At 39.2% G+C, this 26,152-nt stretch overlaps 2 protein-coding genes across 3 annotated transcripts in view, besides 7 other annotated features; both read right to left on the bottom strand.

Moving 5' to 3' along the window:
* SLC30A9 (solute carrier family 30 member 9) overlaps positions 1-15,078 on the bottom strand; it is a 99,932-nt gene extending 84,854 nt beyond the window's left edge. For both annotated transcript variants that reach the window (NM_006345.4, XM_047449525.1), the window contains exons 1-2: positions 14,848-15,078; positions 3,828-3,992 (exon numbers count right to left, since the gene is read on the bottom strand). In NM_006345.4, coding sequence (NP_006336.3) covers positions 3,828-3,992; positions 14,848-14,956 — 274 coding nt within the window. In that variant the 5' untranslated portion in view covers positions 14,957-15,078. The remainder of the gene's footprint in view (positions 1-3,827; positions 3,993-14,847) is intronic.
* Positions 14,907-15,046: an enhancer, noted in NCBI's record as "active region_21512". NCBI's record gives its function as "activates an Ori minimal core promoter by ATAC-STARR-seq in GM12878 lymphoblastoid cells {active_cell/tissue: GM12878}" and the evidence as "EXISTENCE:reporter gene assay evidence [ECO:0000049][PMID:35858748]".
* Positions 14,907-15,197: a biological region, named in NCBI's record as "ReSE screen-validated silencer GRCh37_chr4:41992428-41992647".
* Positions 14,978-15,197: a silencer, noted in NCBI's record as "fragment chr4:41992428-41992647 (GRCh37/hg19 assembly coordinates)". NCBI's record gives its function as "represses an EF-1alpha promoter that drives an FKBP-Casp9 reporter gene in an ReSE screen in K562 erythroleukemia cells {active_cell/tissue: K562}" and the evidence as "EXISTENCE:reporter gene assay evidence [ECO:0000049][PMID:32094911]".
* Positions 15,327-15,406: an enhancer, noted in NCBI's record as "active region_21511". NCBI's record gives its function as "activates an Ori minimal core promoter by ATAC-STARR-seq in GM12878 lymphoblastoid cells {active_cell/tissue: GM12878}" and the evidence as "EXISTENCE:reporter gene assay evidence [ECO:0000049][PMID:35858748]".
* DCAF4L1 (DDB1 and CUL4 associated factor 4 like 1) lies at positions 19,143-23,852 on the bottom strand. Its single transcript, NM_001029955.4, has one exon. The coding sequence runs from the start codon at positions 23,813-23,815 to the stop codon at positions 22,625-22,627; it is 1,191 nt and encodes a 396-aa protein (NP_001025126.2). The 5' UTR covers positions 23,816-23,852; the 3' UTR covers positions 19,143-22,624.
* Positions 22,590-23,362: an enhancer, noted in NCBI's record as "H3K27ac-H3K4me1 hESC enhancer chr4:41984263-41985035 (GRCh37/hg19 assembly coordinates)". NCBI's record gives its function as "activates a minimal SCP1, AML or CMV promoter by ChIP-STARR-seq in naive H9 embryonic stem cells {active_cell/tissue: H9 hESC(naive)}" and the evidence as "EXISTENCE:reporter gene assay evidence [ECO:0000049][PMID:30033119]".
* Positions 22,590-24,121: a biological region, named in NCBI's record as "BRD4-independent group 4 enhancer GRCh37_chr4:41983504-41984703".
* Positions 22,922-24,121: an enhancer, noted in NCBI's record as "BRD4-independent group 4 enhancer chr4:41983504-41984703 (GRCh37/hg19 assembly coordinates)". NCBI's record gives its function as "activates an origin of replication core promoter dependent on BRD2, P300/CBP, MED14 and CDK7 cofactors, and independent of BRD4, by STARR-seq in HCT116 cells {active_cell/tissue: HCT116}" and the evidence as "EXISTENCE:reporter gene assay evidence [ECO:0000049][PMID:35650434]".

Genomic DNA, 26,152 nt, shown 5'->3' with positions numbered 1-26,152 from the left:
CCTCCAGAGCTACAACGGGCATGGAAGACCAGAGAATAAGACTAGGTTCTGCCAAGATAAGGAGTCTAACAGGGGACACTGAGGTAAAAAGCCACAGCCATGGGATCACTATGAACTAGAAATAAATAATACACATAGAAGGGAACAGCAAGTAAGCTGGCCTATCTGTATTTTGGTGTTAAATAGTGGGGAAGAAAAAAATACTCCTCTGAAAATCCTACAGACAAGTGAACCCTAACACAAGTTACAGTCTGAATTCACAATGTAAATCTAAAGCAGAGAACTGAATTTAATGTGGTCCCAATAATGCTACTGGAGAGTAGCACACAAAAGCAAAAACAAACCCTTCCAGGCAGAAAGTCATTTTCAGTCCAGATAAACATCAAATACTTTCAAGATACAAAAACATCATGGAAAATGAAGAACTCACAGTTATAAAACACAGGTACGACATCATGAATAAGAGCAAAAAAGGGAAGAAAAGTCTCATATAGTGAGAAACAAAAAGATTTCATATAGCAGAATTTTCTGTTAAAAATATAAAATAGCTATGTTTAACGTATCTAATGTAATAAAAGGTAAGTCTGAAAATACAACCAAGGAATTAAAGACCAACCAAGCAAGGTAAAAAACAATTTCTAGAAATGAAAAATATGGCCGGTATAGTGGCTCACCCCTGTAATCCCAGCACTTTGGAAGGCTGAGGCAGGAGGATTGCTTGAGCCCAGGAGTTCAAGACCAGCCTGGGCAACACAGGGAGACCTTGTCTCTACAAAATATAAAAATAAATTAGCTGGGCGTGGCAGCACACACCTGTTTTCTCAGCTACTTAGGGGGCTAAGGTAGGTCGAGCCCCGGAGGTCAAGGCTGCAGTGAACCATGATCACACCACTGCATTCTAGCCTGGGCAACAGAATGAGACTTGGTCTCAAAAAAAAAAAAAGAAAAAGAAAAAAAAAAGGAAAATATAATCATTTAAGTTAAAAACCCAACATACATAATCAACCAGCATATTAGAGGCAACTAAAGAGGAAATTAGTGATCCTGGTAGACCTGAGGAAATAATACAGAATGCAGGCCAGAAAGGTAAAGAAATAGAAAATACGATAGAGAGGTTTAAAGACATGAAAAACATAAGATGATGTAACATATTTCTAATTGAAGTTCCAGAAGGAGATAATACAGAAATGGGAAGATGTAATATATGAAGGGATAATAAGAGAATTGTAGAATTCCAGAACTGTAGAAAAATATCAATCCTCAGATCCAGGAAGCCCAACAAATCTCAAGTAGAATAAATACAAAGAAATACATACCTAGTTACTTCATAATAAAACTGCCATTTATACCAAAGAAAAAGACTTTCAAATTAAAGCTAATCAAATTTAAAATGCTGTCAAATAGAAAAAATATACAAACAAAGGCATAATATCTGACTTCTCAACAATTAGTGGAAGCCAAAAAACAATCGAGTAACATCTTAAATGTGCCTTTCCCACAAAAGATCCTCAGCTAAACGAACTTGTATAGGATGTACATCAGACAGAAAGATCAGACATAAGAAAAGGTGGCTAACAAAGATTCTGAATAAATCTAAGCAAGCAACAATGCATACTTTATAGCAGAGAAAGAGCAGAATAGACAGAAAATATTAGCCAACAAATAGCACATAAGTTGGAGGCGGTGATCAGAATTAAAGCACTCTAAAGCTTTTGTGTTTTTCAGAAGGAAAGTAAATTTATCAATTAACTTTAGGCTTTGAAGTACAGACACAGAGTCTAAAACTTTCAAATGAGAGAAAGAGAATAGAGGAGAAAGGATGACGGAATGAGAAAAAAAATTAAAGGCAAAAAAGGAATTTAAGAAAACAGGACAAGGAAACATGATAAAATGGTAGAAATATGTTTAACTATATCAGTGATTACAGTAAATGCACACTGCCTAAACTTCCAGTTAAAAGACAGAGATGATCATATTAAGACAAAATTAAGTTAAAATCAAAGGATGGGAAAATAGTAACCAAAAGAAATGTAGTGGAGAGCTCACTAAAGAAAAACAGTAGCTGCACAATGATAGAGGGAATAATTCATCAGTGTTAGGTAATAATTCTAAATATGTATGTATCTAATGACAGCCTCAAATTATAAAAAGCAAAAATTTACAGAACCATAAAAAAAGACCATCAAATCTACCATCAGAGTGTGATACTCCAACATCTCCCTTGGTAATAATGAATTTTTAAAACAGGACAAAGATCTGTACTGAACAACTAAAAATAAGAATTGATGTGTATAAACACCACACCAGCAATTAAAAATACACATTATTTTCAAGCACAGGAAAACCATTTAGAAAAACTGACCAATTGCTAAACTAAAATGTTACACTCAACAAATTTCAAGACTGAATCAATACAGACCACATTTTGTGAAATACATTAAATACAAAAAGATAAACAAAAATTCCATCTATCTGTAAATTTACAATGATGCTTTAACAACTAAAAAGTCATAGAAGAATCACAATAGAAATAAGAATACATTTAGATTTACAAATAATAAAAATATTATATATCAAAACTGTGGGATGTGTTATCATGGCTTAAATGTCTACTTCAGAAAGGAAGGAAGGGTTAATAAACTAAGTGTCTAACTGACAATTAATAACAGAATGACAGAACCAGAAAACAAGAGATGCTAGTGAGACTGCAGAGAAAAGTCAATACTTAATACACTGCTGGTGGGAATGTAAGTTAGTTCAGCCACTGTGGAAAGCAGTTTGGAGATTTCTCAAAGAACTCCAGCCAATCCCATCAGGGAGTGTATATCAAAAAGAAATAAATTATTCTACCAAAAAGACACATGCACTCATATGTTCATTGCAGCACTATTCACAATAGCAAAGACTTAGAATCAACCTAGGTGTCCATCAATGGGGTACTGGATAAAGTAAATATGGTACATATACACCATGGAATACCATGCAGCCACAAAAAGGAATGAATTATGTCCTTTGCAACAACATGGATGTAGCTAGAGGCCATTATCCTAAGCAAATTAACACAGAAAACAAAAAACCAAGTACCACATATTCTCACTTATAACTAGGAGCTAAACACTAGGTACACATGAACATAAAGATAGCAAAAATAGGCAATGGGGACTACTAGATGAGGGAGAGAGAGAGAGGGCAGCAATGGTTGAAAAACTATTTGGTACTATGCTGACTATCTGGGTGATGAGATCACGTGTACCTCATACCTCATCATCACACAAAATACCATGTAACAAACCCTCACATGTACCCTCCTGAATCTAAACAAAAGTTGAAGTTATAAAACAAAACAAAAAATAATGACTGAACAAACCCAAAAAAAGGCAGAAAGGAGGCTATAATTAAAAAGTAAAAATTGACGAAATAGGATACAAACATATAATGGTTCAAAGTAAAAAAAAATTACTTGGAAAAATAATAAAACACAAACCTCTGGGAAGACTAGCCAAGAAAATAAGACAAATATTAGGAATGAAAAAAGGACATAACTACATATGCTATTGGGAGTAAACAGGGAACATTATTATACACTTTATACCAATAAATTAAAATTTTAGTTTAAGTAGATAAGTAGATAGTTTTTCGTAGAAAACTGAGTCAAAAAGAAATAGAAAAAATAAAGAAATTAAATAAGTGCTTTAATAGTTCCCACAAAGAAAACATCAGTCCAGACAGTATTATAAGTAAGTTCTATCAAACATCCAGGGAACAAATAATTTTACACAAACTATTCCAGTATACAGAAAAAAGTACATTAAAAAAATTACACATACCTGTTTCAAATGATGGTACTTTTTCCACTCTGAGTGTTTGTGATCCCTGTCCTTCTTTCTGAACATTTGTGGAGTACAACTTTACTTGACTCAGGGTACCAATATATGGATGACTACAGGGAACCATGTTTGAAAAGCTTCCAAATGTCACTAAATTCTGCCACTCTAAAAGAAAAAATATATATACTTTAATTTCAAACCAAGTCCTAGCTGCATAATTAATTGCCAAGCCACCCTCTCCAGAGGTGTTTCACTGCTTCTAGGTACACATGAAATACCATTTTGTAAAGAAAAATTAGTGACAACATTCTAATTTTCTCTAACTTGTAAACTTATTTGGAAATTTTTAAAAATATAAAAAATCAAATAAAATATTTATGCTATTCAGCTATTTTGAAAGGTATATAGTACATAATAGATACTCTTTATTTTGCATGTTGGTTGCAAGCTAAAAAAATGTTGGCATAATTACTTTTCAGAATAAAGGACTCTGGGAGGGAAGGTCAGGAAGACTTCCTACACAAAATTATCCTGTGTCCTTCTTCCACTAGCTAAAGATTTATTCCTCTTTCATTTCACAATCAAGTGAATTATATTAATCATTCATTCATACTGTCACCGATTTTTTAATCAGATAATTAGATCAACATTTGGTGAGATGCCTCAGTAAATGGGGAATTTTAATTGAGTGAAGAATAGAAGACTAATTACAAAGCACTTCAGCTGCTTCATCTGGGTTGACTGTGAGCTTTGAAGGGCTCAAATACAGAAGGAAAGTATATTCCACAATTTACCCAAGTACTAGAAAACCAAATTTGTTCCTATTTTCCTGTGACCCTCCTTCTCTTTTTTTACCATGAGTACTGATAATTCCTCTTTTTGAAAGAACCCAAAAACCCTATATAGATATCATTCATATATTTTGTAAAGTTTTAGGTGAAATCAAATTACATCATTACAGATAGTCAAGTTTTTCCAAGGATGGAGGGTTAAGCATTTAAGAGTTGAAACTTTTGTAAGTGCTTAATAATGATCTTCCAAAAATGTTAATTCATGGATTGTGTGTGCAGATATATGCATTCTGAAAGAAAAGCCATTTCTTAATGGCTCAGAGAATTCATCAGGAACATAAATTATTATGAATGTTGAAAATAATATGAAGAGCACAAAGGACATAAGGGAACATAAGTATTCACTCAAGTTTCCGGCCTAGAACTTATTTTCTTGAAAAACTTTCTGATGTGAACTGATTCTTTTACTTATTTGAGAAACTGTTGAAGGCCTATAATGTTTTTGGTCATTTGTGTCTATTTTTTAAAGGGTCAGTAAAGCAAATATAACAGCAGAAGATTCCTACACATTAAAATATGCTGCCTACTAGCAAAAATAATTAGTAAATATGGGCTAAAGCAGATTTTCATAGGAAACACACTCCAGAAAAGCATCTTCTTCATCCTGGCCACTGGTGTTCTGACTGTTCAGCCCTATTCAAAATATCTTCTGTAATTATTACCTGACAAAGACAATATGCCACTAACTTTTTTTTCATACACTGATGAAATATTTTCATAGAATTTGTGCTAAGATGTTTAAAGAGGGATTACTCCACAGTTTAAAAGTCCTTCCTTGGAAGACGACCCATTTCCATGACTTGATGCTAGATTTTTTTCAGTGTTCTCTTTTGTTTTTAAAATGCTACAGAAAATCTCAAACGTATGCAAAGGTAGAAAAACCAGCACAATAAACTGCCACGTACCCATTGCCTACTTTCAACAATGATCAACTCATGGACAATTTCATCTCATCTCTACCTGCACCAATATTAATTTGAAGCAAATCTCAGATATAATTTCATCCATAAATATTTCAGTATGTATTTATAAGAGACAAAAACTTTAACACAACCATAACACCATTACCAGAAATTAAAAAAAAACCTTAATATCAAATATTCTCAATTTCAAATTTCCAGTTGTTACAAATGTTACAATTTTTTTCCAGTTTCTATGTGAATAGATCCAGATAAAGTCCACATATTGGGACTAATTGAGATGTCTTTTAAGTCTCTTTTAAGCTACAGAATGTCTTTTTTTTTTTTAACTGCAATTTTTATGTTGAAAAAGCCAGGTTGTTTGTCCTGAATTTTTGTCCTGGTAGTTTCCCAGGCTGAATTTTGCTGACTGAATTCCTATGGTATTGTTTAGCCCATTCTTCTGTATGTTCTATAAATCAATGGCTGTAAAGGCTTTATCTAACTTCAGGCTATTTTTATTAGGTCAACACTACTTTGTTAAGTGGTGATGAGTTCTTTCATCAGGAACCACACAGTAACTGGTTGATTTATTTGTGATCATAGTGTCTACTGTTCTTCAATGCTTAGAATCATTTATTCATTAGGTGGTTACAAAGTGATGATACCAATTTTATTACTCCTTCATTTACTACTCAGAATATTTCTACAAAGAGAAAATATCCATCATTTATTGGTTATTCAGAAAAGTAGTTCATATAGGAAAGTCAGACTAAATGCTTCTTTCCCTTTATTTACCAGTTCTCAAAATAATACGTTAATTACCCAAGGTCCTGTAATAGTGACACATTTTTAATTTGTGTGTATATCATTACAACTTCATAAATTTAAACATTACTTGGCATTTTTCAATCTAGTTTAGTCATTATCCTGACTAATGCTCAAACTGTTCTATTTTGGGCCAGTAGAGGCCTCTTAAAATTGACTCCTAAGTGCTTTTGACACTATCTTCATAATCTTTGATAGCTTTTTCTTGCTGGCTGTTTTGAAAAGTCCTTAATTTTTAACACCAGTAGAAATTCAGGTAACAGCAACTTTAAAAGTACACATTTGGCATTCATACGAGACAGAAAATGGCACATACATTTACCACCTAATATTGTATATTATAAAAACTATACTGAAGCACATTTAACTCAATAAAACAAATATAATACCTAACACATAGCAATAGAAACACAACCACTGGTTAAAGAATTACTGAATTCCGCAGGGTGCATGGCTCATGCCTGTAATCCCAACACTTTAGGAGGCCAAGCTGGGCAGGTCACGAGGTCAGGAGTTCGAGATCAGCCTGGCCAACATAGTGAAACCCCATCTCTACTAAAAATACAAAAAAATCAGCCAGACGTGGCGGTGGGCGCCTATAATCCTAGCTATGCGGGAGGCTGAGGCAGGAGAATCGCTTGAACCCGGGAGGCGGAGGTTGCAGTGAACCAAGATCGCGCCATTGCATTCCAGCCAGGGTGACGGTGTAAAACTCCATCTCAAAAACAAACAAAAAAAAAGAATTACTGAATTCATTAATTCCAGTAAGCAAAGAGATAGTGAAAAATATTACCCACCATTAATATTCTTTTTTCAAGGTGACTTCTAAACAAGCTACATATCGAAGTCTTTACTCTGGCACTTACTATTCTACTGGCCTGGACAAGAACTTCCTTATGGCTGTGTATATAAGGGCTGTGTCTTCAAGACTGCAGAGTTACTGGTATCCTATCAGCAGTCTACTCAGAACAGCCACACTTCTCCGTCTTTATTTTACTCTCATGGCCTCTGTAGCTAGTGACCTAATGGCCACTGCCAGTGATCACTACTTGTCCTCTCTCTCTCCAATCTGGTTTGTCACCTACCACTACTCTGGCTTCCAGAGAAAATCTGGCCATCATTTTTAGGCTACGAATAACAACAAAAAGACACTCTTTTTCTCTCACACAAACTGACAACTCAGTCTACTGTATACGTTGCTTCCGCAACAACAACTAAAAATAAACAAAAAGATTTCTTGCAACGTGAGTTTATTTCCGGCTAATTTCAGAGCCAGAGTCAAGCTTGCAGCCTGTCTTCTAGATTTCAGTCTCCTTACTTAAGAGACTATTTCAATAATTCTTTTCCAAAATTTCTAAGGCAGTAATATATGAAAGCTAAATAACTGTTAAAGAGGTTACTAAGAGGTTATATAACCTTTTAAAGAGGTTATTAAGTGTGAATTTAAAATACATAATATAGAATGCAAAGATGATTCCTCATGGTATTATTTATCACAGGAAAAAACAAACAACTCAAATGTTCCCTAATAGAAGAATGATTAAATTACGGCAGGTAACTATACTTTTATTATGTATTCATTAAAAACTTTTAATAACAAGGAAAAACACTCATGTTATAATGTTGCATAAAAAAAGCGGAAGACTTATACAGTATGATTTCAACTACTAAAAATGTGGTGAAATATCTGAATTATGCATAGTTTTTACTTTATACCTTATACTTTCCCTGTATTAAAAAAAATGCCCATAATAATAAAAAAAAAACCTAAGAATGTGTCCATAGCTAAATTATCTGGAACTTCATCAAGGTCTTATTAACATCATTATCACAATTTGTAATATAGTCTACCATTAACAGATTGACTATCTCTGGTTTACTTTAATCCTTTCAGCTAGCCAAAACTACAGGAAAATCCTTTTTATCCTTAATCATGTAGCAAGCAAAAGTGTGACCTGGATGGAGTAGCTCAGTCTAGAAGACCACTGCTGATGTAACTTTTCGCCAGAGCAGAGTAAAAAACAGAGAATCTTTTTTTTTTTTGAGTTAGGAAACAATAGGAGATGATGACAACTTCCTAGACTGCATCTTGACATACCTCTCTACTGCCTTGCTTAATTCTATTTTTCTTTTTCATTTTTATTTATTTATTTATTTATTTATTTATTTGAGATGGAGTCCCACTCCGTCATCCAGGCTGGAGTGCAGTGGCGTGATCTCAGCTCACTGCAACCTCTACCTCCCGGGTTCAAGTGATTCTCCTGCCTCAGCCTCCCAAGTAGCTGGGATTACAGGCATGTGCCACCACGCCTGACTAATTTTTGTATTTTTAGCAGAGATGTGGTTTCACCATGTGGGCCAGACTGGTCTTGAACTCCTAACCTGAGGTAATCCACCCTCCTTGGCCTCCCAAAGTGCTGGGACTACAGGCATGAGCCACCGCACCCACCTGTGTTTTTCTGAGACAGGGTGTTGCTCTGTCACCCAGGCTGGGGCAGTGGTGCAATCATGGTTCACTGCAGCCTCAACCTCCCCAGCCTCAGGTGGTTTTCCCATCTCAGACTCCTGAGTAGCTGGGACCGCAGGCGTGTGCCACCCTACCTGGCTACATTTTTTAATTTTTTTTTGTAGAGATGGGATTTTGCCATGTTGCCCAGGCTGGTCTCAAACTCCTGGACTCAAGTTATCTACCTACCTTGGCCTCCCAAATTTTGCTGGGATTACAGGCATGAGCCACTACGACTGGGCCAGAGTGATATTTTAAAACACTCCTCTTTTTCTAAGCCTATGGCTTAAAATACTCAAATTTCGGCCAGGTGCAGTGGCTCACGCCTGTAATGGGACTTTGGGAGGCCAAGGCAGGTGGATCACCTGAGGTCAGGAGTTTGAGACCAGCCTGACCAACATGGAAAAACCCCATCTCTACTAAAAACACAAAAATCAGCCAGGCGTGGTGGCTAACACCTGTAATCCCAGCTACTTGGGAGGCTGAGGCAGGAGAATTGCTTGAACCCAGGAGGTGGAGGGTGCAGTCTGCCGAGATCCACCATTGCATTTCAGCCTGGGAAACAAGAGCAAAACTCCATCTCAAAAAAAACCACAAAAAATAAAAAAACTCAAATTTATTTTCATACCACCCCACCATACCCTAGACACAACAGGTTTCTTTCTGCTCCTTAAAACTATTTGTCTGGGCCAGGCGCAGTGGCTCACACCTAAAATCCCAGCACTTTGGGAGGCCGAGATGGGTGGAATGCTTGAGCTCAGGAGTTTGAGACCAGCCTGGATAACATGGTGAAACCCAGTCTCTAACAAAAATATAAAAATTAGCTGGGCATGGTGGCGCTAGCCTGTGGTCCCAGCTACTCAGAAGGCTGAAGTGGGAGGATCACTGGAGCCCAGGAAGTCAAGGCTGCGGTGAGCTGTGATCCTGTCAGTGCACTCTAGCCTGGGTGACAGAGCAAGACCCTTTCTCAAAAATACATACATATATACATACTAGTCTGATCTTTACAGTTCCTCTTTACTCTTCCCAAATTGCTCTTTCTCCCAGACCTTCACGTGGCTTGCTCATTTTCATCTTTCATGCCTAGGCTCAGTCATTACCTCAGAAAAGCTGGAGTCCTAGGCCATCTTATCGAATGAAATAGCCCATCCTGGCTACTTTCTAGCCCATCATCCTGCCTATCTCTTCTATGGCACTTTAAATATATTTATTTCTGGTGGAAGAAAGGTGGAAACCATCCACCTCGTTCAGCACTACACTATCAGCAACTATAATGCCTGGCATCCAATGCTGAATGATTCTCATTCACAAAAACTCTAGGAGGCACATACTACAGTTAGCTTCATTTTATACTTAAGTACAATAAATTCTATCATGAACTTGATCTGCATAGAATCTTCCTGTCTGCCTGCCTAAATGGTCTTTTTTTTGGTGGGGGGACGGAGTTTTGCTCTTGTTGCCCAGGCTGGAGTGCAATGGCACGATCTCGGCTCACTGCAGCCTCTGCCTCCTGGGTTCAAGCAATTCTCCCACCTCAGCCTCCCAAGTAGCTGGGATTACAGGCGCCTGCCACCATGCCCAGCTAATTTTTTTGTGTTTTTAGTAGAGACAGGTTTTTGCCATGTTGGCCAGGCTGGTCTAGAACTCCTGACCTCAGGTGATCCGCCCACCTTGGCCTCCCAAAGTGCTGGGATTACAGGTGTGAGCCACCACACCCAGCCCTAAATGGTCTTTTATAACTGTCAATGCTCTCTTAATCAGACTAAGAATTTAACTTTTATCCCCAGCAGAGGTCCCTCCTCCTCCCCAACCTCTTTAAACAACTAAGAGCATTGACAGTCTAAATGGTCTTTTTTTTTTTTTTTTTTTGAGACCACATCTGACGGGTTCAAGCAATTCTCCTGCCTCAGCCTCCTGAGTAGCTGTCATTACAGGCGCCCACCACCATGCCTAGCTAATTTTTGTATTTTTAGTAGAGATGAGGTTTCACGATGTTGGCCAGACTGGTCTTTTGTAACTGTCAATACTCTTAGTTATTTAAAGAGGTTGAGGAGGAGGAGGGACCTCTGCTGGGGATAAAAGTTAAATTCTCAGCCTACTTTTCTTATGACAATAAATACTAGCAGATTGGAGACAATAATAACATAGTATGTTTGATTTCTATTTTCTATTTAAAAATTACACTTTTATTAATTTCAGTGTTCATCTAGTATACTTAAGTGTCTTCCCCTCTCAAATTTTTGCCAAATGAGGCAAGGTATAAATACATGAAAAAAAGAAATATGTGCTCTATCCTAACCCAAAGAACTTTTTATAAAAAAGGATATACTTACTACAGAAACTAAGTAACATTTTTATTCTTTAGAAGTATATGTGTACTGTAGATCATTTGTAAAACACAAATAAAAAAATTTTTAGACAAACTCACTGTTAATATCACAGTATATATTTTCACTGTATTTTTCTACAGTTTTTACCTAATAACACAAGAGTATTTTCCATGTCACTATTCTTCTAAATTATAACTTTTTTTTTTCTTTTGAGATGGAGTTTCGCTCGTCGCCCAGGCTGGAGTGCAGTGGCGCAATCTCAGCTCACTGCAACCTCCACCTCCTGGGTTCAAGTGATTCTCCTGCCTCAGTCTCCCAAGTAGCTGGGATTACAGGCGCCCGCCACCATGCCCAGCTAGTTTTTGTATTTTTGGTAGAGATGGGGTTTCACCATGTTGGCCAGGCTGGTCTCGAACTCCTGACCTCAGGTGATCCCCCTACCTCGGCCTCCCAAAGTGTTGGGATTACAGACATGAGCCAACACACCCAGCCCTGAATTATAATTTTTTAAAAAAATGGTTGTATACATCACCAGCCCATAATAAAGGTATCATAATATATTTCAGTTTCCCACTCTCCATAACTATGAACTACCAATTTATTACTATAATAAACTTCTGCAAACATTTTAATATGTATTTTGATTATTTCTTTAAAGTAAATCCTTTTGAGTAAAAACTGTTAGGTCAGAGGGCATAAACCGTTTATGTTTTCAATCAGTAGTTAAGAGAGTTCCTGTTTTCCCACACCCTCAATATGGGGTATTATCATTATGAAAAATTCGGCCAAAATGAAATAGGCAGTGAGAAGTAAAACCCTTTAAAGTCTCTGTTTTTCAGTATGGAACATTTTTGCATTTTTATTGGCCACTTGAACAACTTTATGAACTTTGTATTCAATTCCTTTGTCCATTTTCCTACTGGAATGTATACTGGTTTGTAAAAATTCTTTATAACTTAGATACTAACTCTAACTACACTATCTAATTGAGTAGTCACTGTTTACTGAGCACTTAAAACGTGGTTAGTCTGAACTGTGATGTGCTGAAAGTGTAAAATACTCACTGGGTTTTAAAGACAGTACAAAAAGATGATGTAAAATACTTCAATAATTTTGATATTGATTACATGTTGAAATATTTTGAATATACTTAATAAAATAGTATTAAATTTTATATATTTTATTATTAAAATATATAAATTTCGTTATTAAAATTAATTCTAGGATATATTAAAATTAATTCATCTTTAATTTTACTTTTTTTAATGTGGCTATCAGACAACTCAAAATTACAAACAGGGCTCTCATATTTCTTTTAGACAGTTTCTATTTTGCCTTTAAAGGCATTCCTCATTTTTAAGTATTCAAGCAATCCCTCAAGGTTTCCTCCTCTCCTTATGCTTTATAAGCTTTTCCCAGCCACAGGCATTTTAGAAGCATAAACTAAACCTTACTTCTAGACAAATAAAAACAACTGTTTTTAGATTTTCTTTCTCCAAAAGTTCTTCAAATAGTCTTCTCACATGCATCCAATTTAAATAGTACTCTTTTTCTAAATGATTTTTAAATTTTGCCATAATAATGGTTGCCCTTTTAAGAAATGCTTCATTACTGAAACTAAATTTTCACAAAGTTATTTTTAAAAACCTACTAAGCATTTTTAAGTGTAAAAAAAATTTTAATTTTTTGTAGTAATAAACATTCCAAACAACTTTGCAAAGTCATTTTGACCACTAAGGTAGGTAATAATTATCTGTGTTTCACAGACAGATGAGACAAAGAATACATAATTTTCAACATAATGACAGCTACACAGAAGAGGGATTACAAATTACACTGTTTCTTCTCCTTTTTGCCAACACTTAAAGGGCAGTTTAGACTAAATTTAACAGCCACTGTAATTTCAGTGTAAAATGCCAAAATTGCTTGGTCAATAGAAACAATTGTGTTAGAAACTTACTTGGGGATTCTGGAGTACAGTATAAACGTATGATTCATTTTTCTTTTTCTTTTCTTTTTTTTTTTTTGAGACAGGTCTCACTCTGTCACCCAGGCTGGAGTGCACTGGCATGCTCAAGGCTCACTGCAGCCTCAATTTCCTGGGCTCAAGCGATCCTCCCACCTCAGCCTCCTGAGTACAGGCTAGGATTACAGGCGCGCGTCACCAAACCAGGCTAATTTTTTGTAGAGAGGCAGTTTTGCCATGTTGCCCGGGCTGGTCTTGGAACTCCTGGGCTGAAGCGATCCACCCACCTCAGCGTCCTAAGGTTTACAATCTTCCTGAGGATTAGCAGCATGAGCCACTGCACCCAGCCGATGATTCATTCTGTCCATAAGGGAACCTGGCAGTATATTGCCAATATGGAAAAACTCAACAGTTACACTTTTCTATCACTACCAAAAAAGCCCTGGGAATAGTGCTGTTAAAATTTATCCGTTTGAAATTCTAAGATTCAGCTTTACATTTATTGCAAATAAAAGATACGAATATATTCTAATTTATATCCACAGCATAGTTACTATAGCTTATATTACATAAAATCTCGAATGACTGCAACTTCCGACTTCTTTCAGGAGGTCACGAACATGTTACAGGTTTTTTCAAACCTATGTTTTTACAGACAGCTCACTATGTTGCCAAGGCTAGCCTAGAACTATTGGGCTCAAAAGATCTGCCTGCCTCAGTCTCCCGAGTAGCTGGACTACAGGAGCGCACCACCACACCTGGCTTCGAACATGAATGTTTCGGTAAATACTCTCTGCATCCCAAGAATGGAGGGATTAGGTTAAGGGTGGACTTAGTTCTGTCTTCTCCCTCAGAGATCCTATCAGTTCTCAGTGTCAAGCAATGTGTGTCAAGCTACGGCAAAAACGAAGGTAAGCCTGATTAGTTCAATGTTATTTTGGAAACTCTCAAACCATTTAAATTTGAGTCAGAAAAGAATGTTGAGAGAGACGAAAATTCTCTTCAACCACCTTTTTTTCTGGGTTACCACTACAACTGCCACCTTTTCACCAAAAAGACTGCTCAGCCGAACTGAAGAGTTTCTTTGTTTTTCGGACCCAAACTGGGTTCATTCAATGATTGTCGGATACTTTCGTACTTCTTCCAAAAGATCCGTAGTGAGTAGCACCCCTCCTTCCTTTTAGAAAATTTAAGAAAATAAGTTGGGAGAGTAAGAAAAAGAAGGCCAAGAAAATCTCAACCAAGTGCTAAATGAAGGTGCGCTGGAAAGCTCCAAAGACCCTGGAACTTTGCGGAGTCCGCAATTTCCAACCGCGGAGGTGAGTAACCGCGGGACACCGCGATGCGCACGTAACATTTTGTTTGGTACAAAGCGGTAGGCTTCAGAGGTGCAATCCGGCCCGCGAGGTGCCCACAAGTTCCCGCGGGGGCCATGCTAGGGCTGCAGAAGGCATCAGAGTCAGAGACCTGTCAGGACCCCCGCGGGCTGCGCAGGCTGAACTGGAAAGGCGGAGGCCAGAAAGGAAGGTTCTGAGGTTGGCGAAAGGCAAGTGGGCGAATTGCCCCAGGCGAGGCGCCGAGCCCAGCCTGGCCCTCCAGTTCGGCTTCTACGGAGCCAGCGGCCAGCGCGGGACACTCACCCTGGCGGTCGCTGGGATTACAGGCCGCCGCCCTGCATCGCAGACGGAGCCGGCACAGGGAGGACCAGCTACATCTGTGGGCCGCGGCGGCGGCCAAGCCGGGTAACATCCTGGTGGGGCAGAGGCCCCTACTCGGACACCGCCTTCTGCCTCCGCGCCGCCACCGGTACCAACTGACTCCATAGACTGGACATCAGCGAACACCGATGGCTTCGCCGCCACAAGCTGCCTGGGTGACCCGGAAACGGCAACGTCATTTAGCGACGCCTGCCGTGGAGGTAGCGGAAGTGACGTAACACGTTGAGCACCAATAGGGAGGCCTTCCTTCCCGGGGACCCAGACTCCCAAAGTGGGGAGGGCGTGGCTGCAGGGGAAGTTTGGTGTCTGCCGTCTTCTTTTGCACCTGTACTTTTGCGCTTGGTTGGAAATCACGTAAACTGTTTACATCTTGTTCAGCCAGGAAAGCTGTCCTTTGGGAGTTCTACTTATTCCTTTTTTTCTGGACTCGAAACCGGGGCCGTGGTTTCGGAAATGGGAGGAAAGATGGGAAGGATGGACGCAGGTTTTCTGAGCCTCTCTACCTAGAGCCTGCCAGGATAAACCCAAATTAGAACCAACATGTCCAGTACTCTCCGAACGTCTGCCACGTACATCGTTCTCCTTGTTAACACCAGTGTGTATCCAGTATCATAAAGGCAAGTACACACTTCGGAATCAGCTACTTGCCCTACTAATCTGTGAACCTCAGATTTTTGCCTGCAATATAAGAGGTTTTATGTTCATGACAAGTTAGGGTAAACGGAGGTATGCAGACTTCGAAACATTTTGGTCCCAGGGAGAAAGAAACCTGAACAGTATCCACGTTAACTGTTTCTCTCTGCCATGCTCATTCAGCTCTTAACTCAAACTCAAGAGAGGCCTTCCTTGACCACCCTAGCTATGGTAGTCCTGGTCATTCTCTACCCGGCTGTCCTATATACTTTTCTTCAAAACGCTTATCACTATTTGAGATTTTTTTTTCTATTTTGTGTCCTAGAATAGAAAATAAGCATCATGATGCTGGAATCTTGTCTATTTTGTACATGGCTGTATAAAGCCGCTAAAACAATGCCTGGCAAAAATAAATTGAATGGAATGTATGGTGGTTTGTTTTAAAGTTAATCTGAGTCGCTTATCTATATTACTGCAAAATAACTATCTCGGGGAAATTTAGTATGTCCTTAATTTTTAAAAAAATCAACAAGTCTCTTATACTAATTGAGATAAGTATAACCAAATGAGGAAAGAGATTATCGTTAAGAATGGTAAGCAAATTTAATTTCCTATGACAAACATAACTTAAAATATTCAGTGGACAAACATTAAAAAATGATGTCCCATAAATGTAGGCTCAATATTACTAAAAAATCTGAATATTACTGGAAAGTTACTTTCCCTTTCTTGTAATAGATTTTAATAGAAATTCAACTTTATGAAGTAAAAATACATAAAGGCTTACCTCTTATTTTATGGTAACTATGCAAACATCTATTAACTTTTATGGATAATTCTTTTTGAACAAAACTAATCTCATATTTTGGATTCTTAAAATGGCTTTGGTTTCAACTCGTTTTAGGCAAGCCTGATCAAAACTTCTCAGGTTTTATTTTTAATTTGTGCGATAGGATTATTATTTTTATTTTGTTTAGCTGTACTAATCATTTTTAGAAGAAAATGTTCCTTTCTTGATAAAACTTTTAAAAAAAATACATTTTGTGCAGAGTTCTTAATTTCCATAACAGCCCACCTGATGTGTAAAATATGTTGGTGCACAGTAAAATTTCACAGTGTGTGCTTTCCTGTCCTTCTTTTTCCTGGTATAGTTGGGGTGTAACTTGACTTAGACACTACTAATTGTTATAAACCTCCAGTACCCTTGATTTGCCAAATAAGTTTGAAGAACAAAGTGTATCATTTTCTGTTACCTTAACTCTCACAATGCTGTATCACATAATAAAGCCTCAACAGACTTGGATTAAAATAACTCTGCAGTTGTCTTGGTATTTATACCTACATATCATGATATACTTATCCTTTTGGAAAGTCTTTGAAACTTCCCCAAGTGCTAAAACTTAAGATAATGTCAGTTTTAGAGTTCCTTAGGGGAATTTCCTTTGACCCTAAATCCCATCCTTACCAAGAGACTTTGTTTTTATGCTCCATTTGAGACACATTCAGCGTTGCCTACCTATACATAACAGGTAAGATTCTAGTATCATAGGGCTTATTTTCTATTGGAAGAGGCAGCAAATTTATAAATAAATATATTGATAATTTAAAACTAATAGCAGCAGTAGTAATATTAATCATTTACTAATTGCCAGGCCCTCTGTGTACACTGTCTCATTCATAATACCTTAAATAAGTTATAGGTAGACGAAGAAACCAAGGCACAAAGATCTTGATCTTAAACACCACTCTTTCTAAGTCAATGGGTACTTGCCTTTGGAAGAAAATGTGATGTCTTCTCAAAAGACTTGAATGATAATATGGTGTTCCTATTTTTTTTTTCCTGGAATGTAGGTTAAGAGAGAATTTCCCCAGATATTTTTTACTCATGTGATCAACATGGTATAAAATTGTCCAAGTTTCATGAGGATACATGATATAAATAGATGCCTAAATATAGGGAACTATTAAGTCAGATAGATAGAAACAGAAGTAGGAAAGGAGTGAAGTGTCATTTGATTATTACCATACACCATAATTCCTGCAAGGTTTTCCATTAACTCTGAAGAAGTTCCAACATCTTTCAGAAATTTGCTTGTGCAATTGAGCTAACTACTATTGCTTGGTTTCATCCTGTCTATAGCTTTGGGAAAATAACTCTGATCTTGAGACAAACTTGACTGGTTATCTGGAAAACTGACTTAGATAATCCATTACAAAATAAAGTAAGTGGCTCTATCATGAGGCTTACCAAAAACACAAATTTAATTTTGAACACAGACATACTTGTTGTCATCACGTTTTGGCGATTTTTTTTTTCTTTGCCTCTAGGAGTGGGGGAGGAGGGAGCTTGCCCACCTGAACACTTCAATAAGAAAATGGCCCAGCCTGGCCAACATGGCAAAACTTTTTCTCTACTAAAAATACAAAAATTAACTGAGAGTGGTGGTGCACACCTGTAATCCCAGCTACTCGGGAGGCTGAGGAATAAGAATCACTTGAACCCAGAAAGTGGGGGTTGCAGCGAAACGAGATTATACCACTGCACTACAACCTGGGCAACAAAGTGAGACTCTGTCTTGAAAAAAAAAGAAGCAAGAAAGAAAATGGCTTATAGCCAGGTGCTAGTGGCTCATGCCTGTAATGCCAGCACTTTGGGAGGTTAAGGCAAGAGGCCAGAAGTTCAAGACCAGCCTGGGCAACACGATAAGATCCCATCTGTACCAAAAAAAAACAAACAGAAAACAAAACTGGCTTATACATGGGTAAAAAGAATTACCTGGTCACACCCCCTCTCCTGTACAACAATGGTCAGAAGCAATAAGGGTCTGCACAGACACATTTGGCCTGTAAAGGCAAACATGCAAAAGAAATGAAACATGCACTTGATGTGGTTTCTGACCAGGTCTGACCAGGTTGCTAATCCTCGTCTCCATTTTTCAGAGAGGTGAAAGGTTTTTTCTACAGTTCACTTAGCAAGAATGTCACAGAAGATGGAATCAGACTCAGGTCCTCTAACTCCAAATCAGTTTACATGGTTGAGTGAGCATTGCAGAGGAGGAGAGAAGGAAGGAGTGGCTTGTTCTTACAGGTTTTCCCTCTGACATTATCCTATGAAATTACTTGTGGGATTTTTTTTGTCACAATTATCTTGTCAAATAGCCATTTAGTAGTCCACTACCATTAAACTTACGTTCACTCTTTGCCACTTCCATCCAAGAAAAGGAGAATGATTTCTCCAATGATAACTGTATTCCTGGATCATAGCTCTCTTATTCAACACTTCTTAGCTTCTCCAATAAAAGCTCCTTCTCTGCAATTTACCTGGTATGGTGGAGAAAAAATTACACATACACACACTTTTCCTTAGAGGGTAGTGAACAAGATTCATATTACAGCTGGAATAATTGAGTTATTAAATACTCCTGGAGGCAAGAGACTGACTGTTTGATAACCTTTATCCTTGAGAAGAATTAAGCTGAGACAGAGCATGGAGGTGTAATATTTTTAGAGAGGGCAGCATTTGTGAAGAGTCAATTCCTTCCCCAAAGCCACAGGTGGGGGCAGCAAGAGAAAGTCTTACTAGGTTTTTTAAAATTTAACTTTTTATTGAAGTATAATACACACAAGACATATATTAAGGGCATAGCTCTAACAATTATCACTAGTGAACAAAAACTGTGTAGCCAGTACCCCGCTATAGAGAGGATGCACCTGACAGCAGTAACAACCATATCCTGAGAACGACCCTGTGATCTAAAACGAATGTGTGCTCAGAATCCCAAACTAAGGAAACAGGAGCGACTAACCCTGAGTTTCACTCCTTATCTATGAAGGACGTCTGAACCCCCAGCCCATCCCTTACAACACAGGCAATATAGGGGATCAAGGTCCTTTGCTTTGGGTTAAATGGAGGTTGCTAGGTGGAGTGTGCTAAATGAAAATGCTATATAAACTGCATGCTTTTTACAAACAGTAGTGGTTCTTCTGTCCAGCCTACTACCACTGGACCATCCCTATATATAAGTTCCCCCAATAAACCCAAGTCTTGTTCGCTGTCTACGCATCTTCTTTGGACTCTCGGACACAGTGCCATTACTATTGGAGTCACTAGGGGTCTGGCATGACACCAGCATTGCTAGCTTCCTAGAATCTTCTTCTGGTCACTACTCTTCTGCCCTACAAGTATACCATTAATCCTGCTTCTAAGAACATAGATTCATTTTGCCTGTTTAGGGACTTTATGTGCATTAGTTGTACAATATGTGCTCTTTTGTGTTTGGCATCTTTATTTCAACATTATGTTTGCAGGATTTGTCCATAGTGCTATGCTCATTCTCACTGCAAAAAGGATTCCATTGTGTTAATATCCCACAATTTATCCACTCTACTATTAATGAACATTTGGGTAGTTTCCAGTTGGAGCTATTAACAAATTATGGTGGACACAGGTATGCATTTCTGATTAATATATTCCTAGGACTGAAATGACTGGGTCATAGAGTATGCAAACTTCTAGCTTTAGCAATTACTAACTTTTCCAAGTGCTTGTACCAGTATACACTCAACAGTATATGAAAGTTCTATTTGCTCACAACTGCACCAACATTTGCTTCTCTTTTAATTCCCAACGTCACTCCACCTGATCTATTTTATTTTAACCATTATAGTGAAAGTGGTGTGGCATTGTGGTTTTAATTTGCATTTCCTTGACAATAAAAGAAGTTGGATGCCTTTTCAAATGTATATTAGCCATTTGGATCTCCTCTTTTTCTCCTATTCAAGACTATTGCCTCCCTTTCTTTTAGGTGTGTTTTTCTTACTGATTTTTTTTTTGCATTTGTTTTCTTTGCAAATGAGGATAAACAGTTTATCAAGTTATGTAGTCATTTTTTGTCAATTGCCAAATAAATGACATATCAGTATCAGACATATATATATATACATATATATGTCTGCAGCTAGTTCTTACTGAATGATTGCAATGTCTTTTCTTCATTAATTGTTTTGTTTTATTTTGAATGCTTACAATGTAAAAGGGACAAGATACATATCCTTTAACCCTGTATCTACTTTATCATTTAGTTTTATTATCTAAGACATTTTACACTGAAGAAACAACAGCAAGTAAAGCTTACACAATTTCTCATGTCACATATCAAGTTAGTATAAAAAACTGACTGAAAGGATTCCAAAAATCTGTGCCTAACCATACTCCCATATCTTCTCTATTGATCTACTCATCTTCTATCAATATGTAATTACATTAACCTCATCTATGTCATATAAAGCACATCTATCCCATCTATTTTAATTCTATGTATTGAAGTCACCAAATTTGTATTACCAGCCATGACATGACCCCTGATCTGCAGAATACTTTGTATCTCCAATTGGAGGTTTAGTAGATGTCTAAAACTCAGCATCATTCCCTTCACCTAAAGTTTTTTCTCCTCATCCTCCCCAGGTTAGTAAACGACACCATCATCTACCAGTTCTAAAGTTAACAAAAAAGCTGCCATCCTCAGAGCTTGCAGTGAGCCGAGATCGCGCCACTGCACTCCAGCCTGGGCGACAGAAGGAGACTCCGTCTCAAAAAAAAAAAAAAAAAAGCTGCCATCCTTTTTTCTTTCACTTTCTAGTTTACTCTCATCAGCAAGCCTTATCAATAATACTACCTTCGAATGATCTTCCAATGCAATCATTTCTGATCATTTCTACTTCTCACACATGCAGGTCCAAGGCATCATTGTCCCTTGCCTAACTACAATAGTGTCCTAATTGCTTATTTTTATTTTTTGAGGAATAACATATATACAGTAAACTATAAAAACGTGAAGCATATAGATATATGAATTACGTATGTATCAAGTGTCAAGATAAAGAAAACTCAGCATTCCTAAAGCTTCCCCATGTCACTTCTCAAACATCCTAAAAAGAAAAAGAAAAAAAAATCCTTTCTTTCTACAGAGGTACGTACTACTCTACCTTTAATCACCATAGACAAGTTTTTACTGCTTTTGAACTTTAGAATTGAATCATACAGTTTGTACTCATTTCTACCTAATTTCAGTCAACATGTTGAGATTGGTCCATACTGTTTCACATAGCAAGTGTGCCTTATTTTCTATTATTATGCAGTATCCGATTGTATGATTATATCACGAATTTTAGCATTTTCGAAATTCAGATCATTTCCAGGCTTTGGCTATTAAGAAGTAGCAACTAACCTTATTACACGTTTTTTTTCTTCCTTGCTTAGTAGAAAAACAGGCTCTTTAACATTTTTAATAAATCTCTCACAAACTGCTGCTCCTAGATTACAAAAAGTCAAAGCCAATTCCTTGAATCTGAACTTCAAGTCACCATAATAGAAACCGGAGCTGCTGTACCTTACATTCTGAAAGGTACCTCAACAAAAGCACATCAAGGACTGTTTAAAACTTCTAGTATTTAAAAAGATCCATCTTTCCTTCCAATGCCTATGGATGATAACAATAAAAGGAGAACCTTAAGAGATCTGCTATTGAGTTTGAGAAGGCCAAATTTAATGATTCCAAACTCCAGCCTTAAATATTTCTGTAGAGACTCTGAGAAATTACCTCTCCCTTGTCTCCACTCCCACTGGCTTCCTCAAGCGCAGATGCCTGGGACCCTGTATGATTAGTCAAACAGTCTTACCAGTACCATCATTATGCTTCTCTAAAGGGCTACTAGTGAAAGAAGCTGCTTTAATTTATTTTAGTTTTTGCCAATCTTCAGTCCTTAGAAAAGTCTTAATTATTTAAAAAAAAAAAGGGTTGGGGAGGTGGTTAACTGTTCTAAGGCATTCAACAAGAGGAAACAGGTACCTTTTATGAAAAGGACTTTCAAGTTAAGTCCACAGTTTAACTGAAATAACTTTACAAGAACGTCTCCACATAAAACTCTTAACACCTTACCCCTGGCAGCCGGATGGATGCGATCTATATACAACACGTCTCTTAAAATGCTCTCACAGAAACGGTAATAAGATACTCTTAACTTCCTTAAGTCAAATCCACATTCGGCCGCGCTGCCACCTGCAGAATTAGCTGAAGGGGAAACAATAAAGGTCCTGCCGGACAGCCATGAGCAGCCCTGGTGCTGCTCCCCGGATGCCCCCGAGCCGAGAAGCGAAGGCCACGCTGGGAATGTCGTCCTCGGAGGCAGAGTACGGGGAAGGGATGGTTCTGAGCAGGTGGGCATCATGGAGGCTCCAGATTCTCGTGTAGCAGTCCTGGCCCACTGCCACCACGATTCCCTCTTCCTCGTGCACATGCAGGGGCAGATAGGCGGACTCATTCACGTGACCTTCGTACTGCCTTACACATTTAGTGGCCCTCAGATCCCACAGCTTGATCTTTCCAGTCATGTCTGATGCCATCAGGCATTGCTCTTCTTGGAGGATTTGCACAGAGGTCACTGCTGAGTCATGGAACAGGCGAGTGGCCCTCCACCCCTTGCCTCGATTTCTACAACGCAGATCAATGGCAAAGATCTCCCCGGAGCGACAGCCATTAAACAGCAAAGGAGCCGTACTAGCAAACTGCTGGGCCAAGACATCACTGCTGGTATCAAATGACTGCTGGTGTCCCGTCGCCACGCTGGTCAACAGGACCTGCTGAGACAAGCCTGCACTAAAGCAGTGATATGCCCGGGTGTTGAGGGACCACGCACAGGACCAGGCCTCTGGGATCTGGAAACTGCAGAGCATGCCAGGCTGGTTAACTCTTGTGTGAACACTTAAGAACCGCGACGCTGGGAGCAGCACTGCACAGCTTGGAGCATCTGTGATTCCCTCGAAGCACAGCAGAACGTGAGAGTCCAACTGGTTCAGCGAGGCCCAGCACAGGGACTTCACCTTCCGGTTGGGGACGTAGAGGTTTCTGAGCACGTACACGTGGAACGAAGGGATCTTCAGAGTTCGCAGGCTGATGATGCCGTACTTGGAGCCTTCGACTTCGACCTGGTTCACTACGAAGAGCTGGTCGCTGTTGGTACTCGCCAGAATGAAGTTAAATCGGTCGCTCGCCAAAGAGGAGGGATCCAAGCTCCGAATTTGGACCTTTTTCCGCTCCATGCAGCTCACACGCAGCTCGTTGGCTAAACGGGAGTAACTGGTGACGTTGAGGAAACCTAGCTGGCTTTTTCGGAGCATGGAAGATGCATTAAATCCCATTCTGGCTACCTTTTTCAGCTTGGCCTCTTCCTCGAGGAGTCGCAGCCTTTCAGCCTCCATTTCCTCCTGCGGAATGTTCCTCGTGACAGGAAATTCTGCAGGATGTTCTTCTCCGTGACAGGATGTTCTTTTCCGTGACAGGAAGTTCCGTCCGGGTGCAAGCGGAAGTGTTGCTACTTTTTATCCTCTCTATTCTAGGAGGAAGTCCATTGTTACAGATGTGTATTACAAATCTCTTTTCCTACTCTGTGGGTTGTCGTATTCTCTCAGTGGTGTCTTGATGAAAGGAAGTTCTTGATGTTAAATTTTTTCCTTTCTCTTTTTGAGACAGGGTCTTGCTCTTTCACCCAGGCTGGAGTCCAGTGGCACGACCACGGCTCACTGCAGCCTGGAACTCCTGGGCTCAAGTGATTCTCCTACCTCTGCCCTACTTAGCTGGGACTATGGGCTCACAACACCATGCCAGGCTACTTTTTTTGTAAAGATGGGGTCTCCCTGCTTTGCCGATGCTAGTCTGGAACTCTTGAGCTCAAGCAGCCTGTCCGCCTCAGCCTCCCAAAGTGCTGGGATTACAAGCATGAGCCCACGCGCCCTGCCTGTATTTCTTATTTTTTTATTTTTTATTTTAAGACGGAGTCTCGCTCTGTCGGCCAGGCTGGAGTACAGTGGCGCGATCTCGGTTCACTGCAAGCTCTGCCTCCCACGTTCACGCCATTCTCCTGCCTCAGCCTCCCAAGTGGCTGGGACTACAGGCGCCCGCCACCACGCCTGGCTAATTTTTTTTGTATTTTTAGTAGAGACAGGGTTTCACCGTGTTAGCCAGATGGTCTCGATCTGCTGACCTCATGATCGGCCCGCCTCAGCCTCCTAAAGTTCCGGGATTACAAGCGTGAGCCACTGCGCCCGGCCGCCTGTATTTTTAAAATACAGTTAGAGACCAGCCTGGGCGGCATGGTGAAACTTTGTCTCTAAAAAAATACAAAGATTAGGCCGGGCGCAGTGGCTCACGCCTGTAATCCCAGCACTTTGGGAGGCGCAGGCAGGCGGATCACGAGGTCAAGAGATTGAGACCATCCCGGCTAACACGGTGAAACCCCGTCTCTACCAACAATTAAAAAAATTAGCCGGGCATCGTGGCGGGCGCCTGTAGACCCAGCTACTCTGGAGGCTGAGGCAAGAGAATGGCGTGAACCCGGGAGGCGGAGCTTGCAGTGAGCCGAGATCGCGCCACTGCATTCTAGCCTGGGCAACAGAGCAAGACTCTGTCTCAAAAAATAAATAAATAAATAAAATACAAAAATTAGCGGGGTATGGTGCACACCTGTAGACCCAGCTACTCAGGAGACTGGGAGGGAAAATCACTTGAGCCTAGGAGTCTTGGAGGGAAAATCACCTGAGCCCTGAAAGTTGAGGCTGCAGTGATCACCCCACTGCACTCCAGCCCAGCTGGGAGACAGAATAAGACCCTGTCTCAAAAAGAAAGAAAAATAAGTAAATAAATTATGAATTTATCCAAATTGTCCATTTGTTTCATTAATGGTTAGTGTCTTTCATGTTCTGTTCAGGACATTAGTACCTATTACATGATACTAGTAAAGTTTTGGGGTGTCTTCAAGAGGAGGCTGATATCTCCAGTCCCCATCTGGATGTTTCCTTTGCCACAAAGCTTGCTGACTCCCCTTACGCTATGAATTTCCAGGAATTTTGGAGGACTGGGGAGAGTTGGTAGGGACTACAGAGAAATCCGGTGATATCTGGACTATGGATCCTGTCGGAATCTACAGGCCCCAGAGCTGGGATCACAGAGAGCACAGGAGATTGAGGCCCACACACTTGCCATGGAACATAACATGGGACAAGGGATTTCTATGTATCAGAAGAATGTGTTTCACCACTGCCAAATGGAAGTCAGCTGACAGATGCAGAAGTCTTGCAAAGGGCTATCAAAGCATAGAGGACTGCTTGATACTGAGTTATCAGTGGGGCTGTTAGGAACCCCATATATTCTAACAATGACCTACAGAAAGCAGATAGCAACATGGCGGCAGTCAGACATTTAAGGCATTGCCTGTTTTCCTTCTTAAACCTCCTGACCCCACCATCGGAAGAGCAGGCACATGGAAAAAAAGGGGTGTGTATAAAGAAAGTTGGAACTACGGGTCTAGTCTGCTCTGGAAGGCATGGAGGAAGTTTTTGAAATAAATATGAGACTAATATTTTAAATCAGTAGGACCTAATCTTAATACCTAGAATGAAAGTTTTAATAACTAAGGAGGCTGATACTTTGAAGCAATGAAATCTGACAAAATACCAAGTGTAGAAATGATGAGACTTTCAAGCTTATGCCTCTTGAGGTGAGATTCTCAATCAAACTGATTACACATCTTTGTCTACCCT

The sequence above is a fragment of the Homo sapiens genome, chromosome 4, assembly GCF_000001405.40.
Source record: "Homo sapiens chromosome 4, GRCh38.p14 Primary Assembly".
NCBI classification, from domain to species: Eukaryota; Metazoa; Chordata; class Mammalia; order Primates; family Hominidae; genus Homo; species Homo sapiens.
The sequence above is the reverse complement of the archived record's forward strand: the minus strand, read 5'-3'. Positions and strand labels throughout refer to the sequence as shown.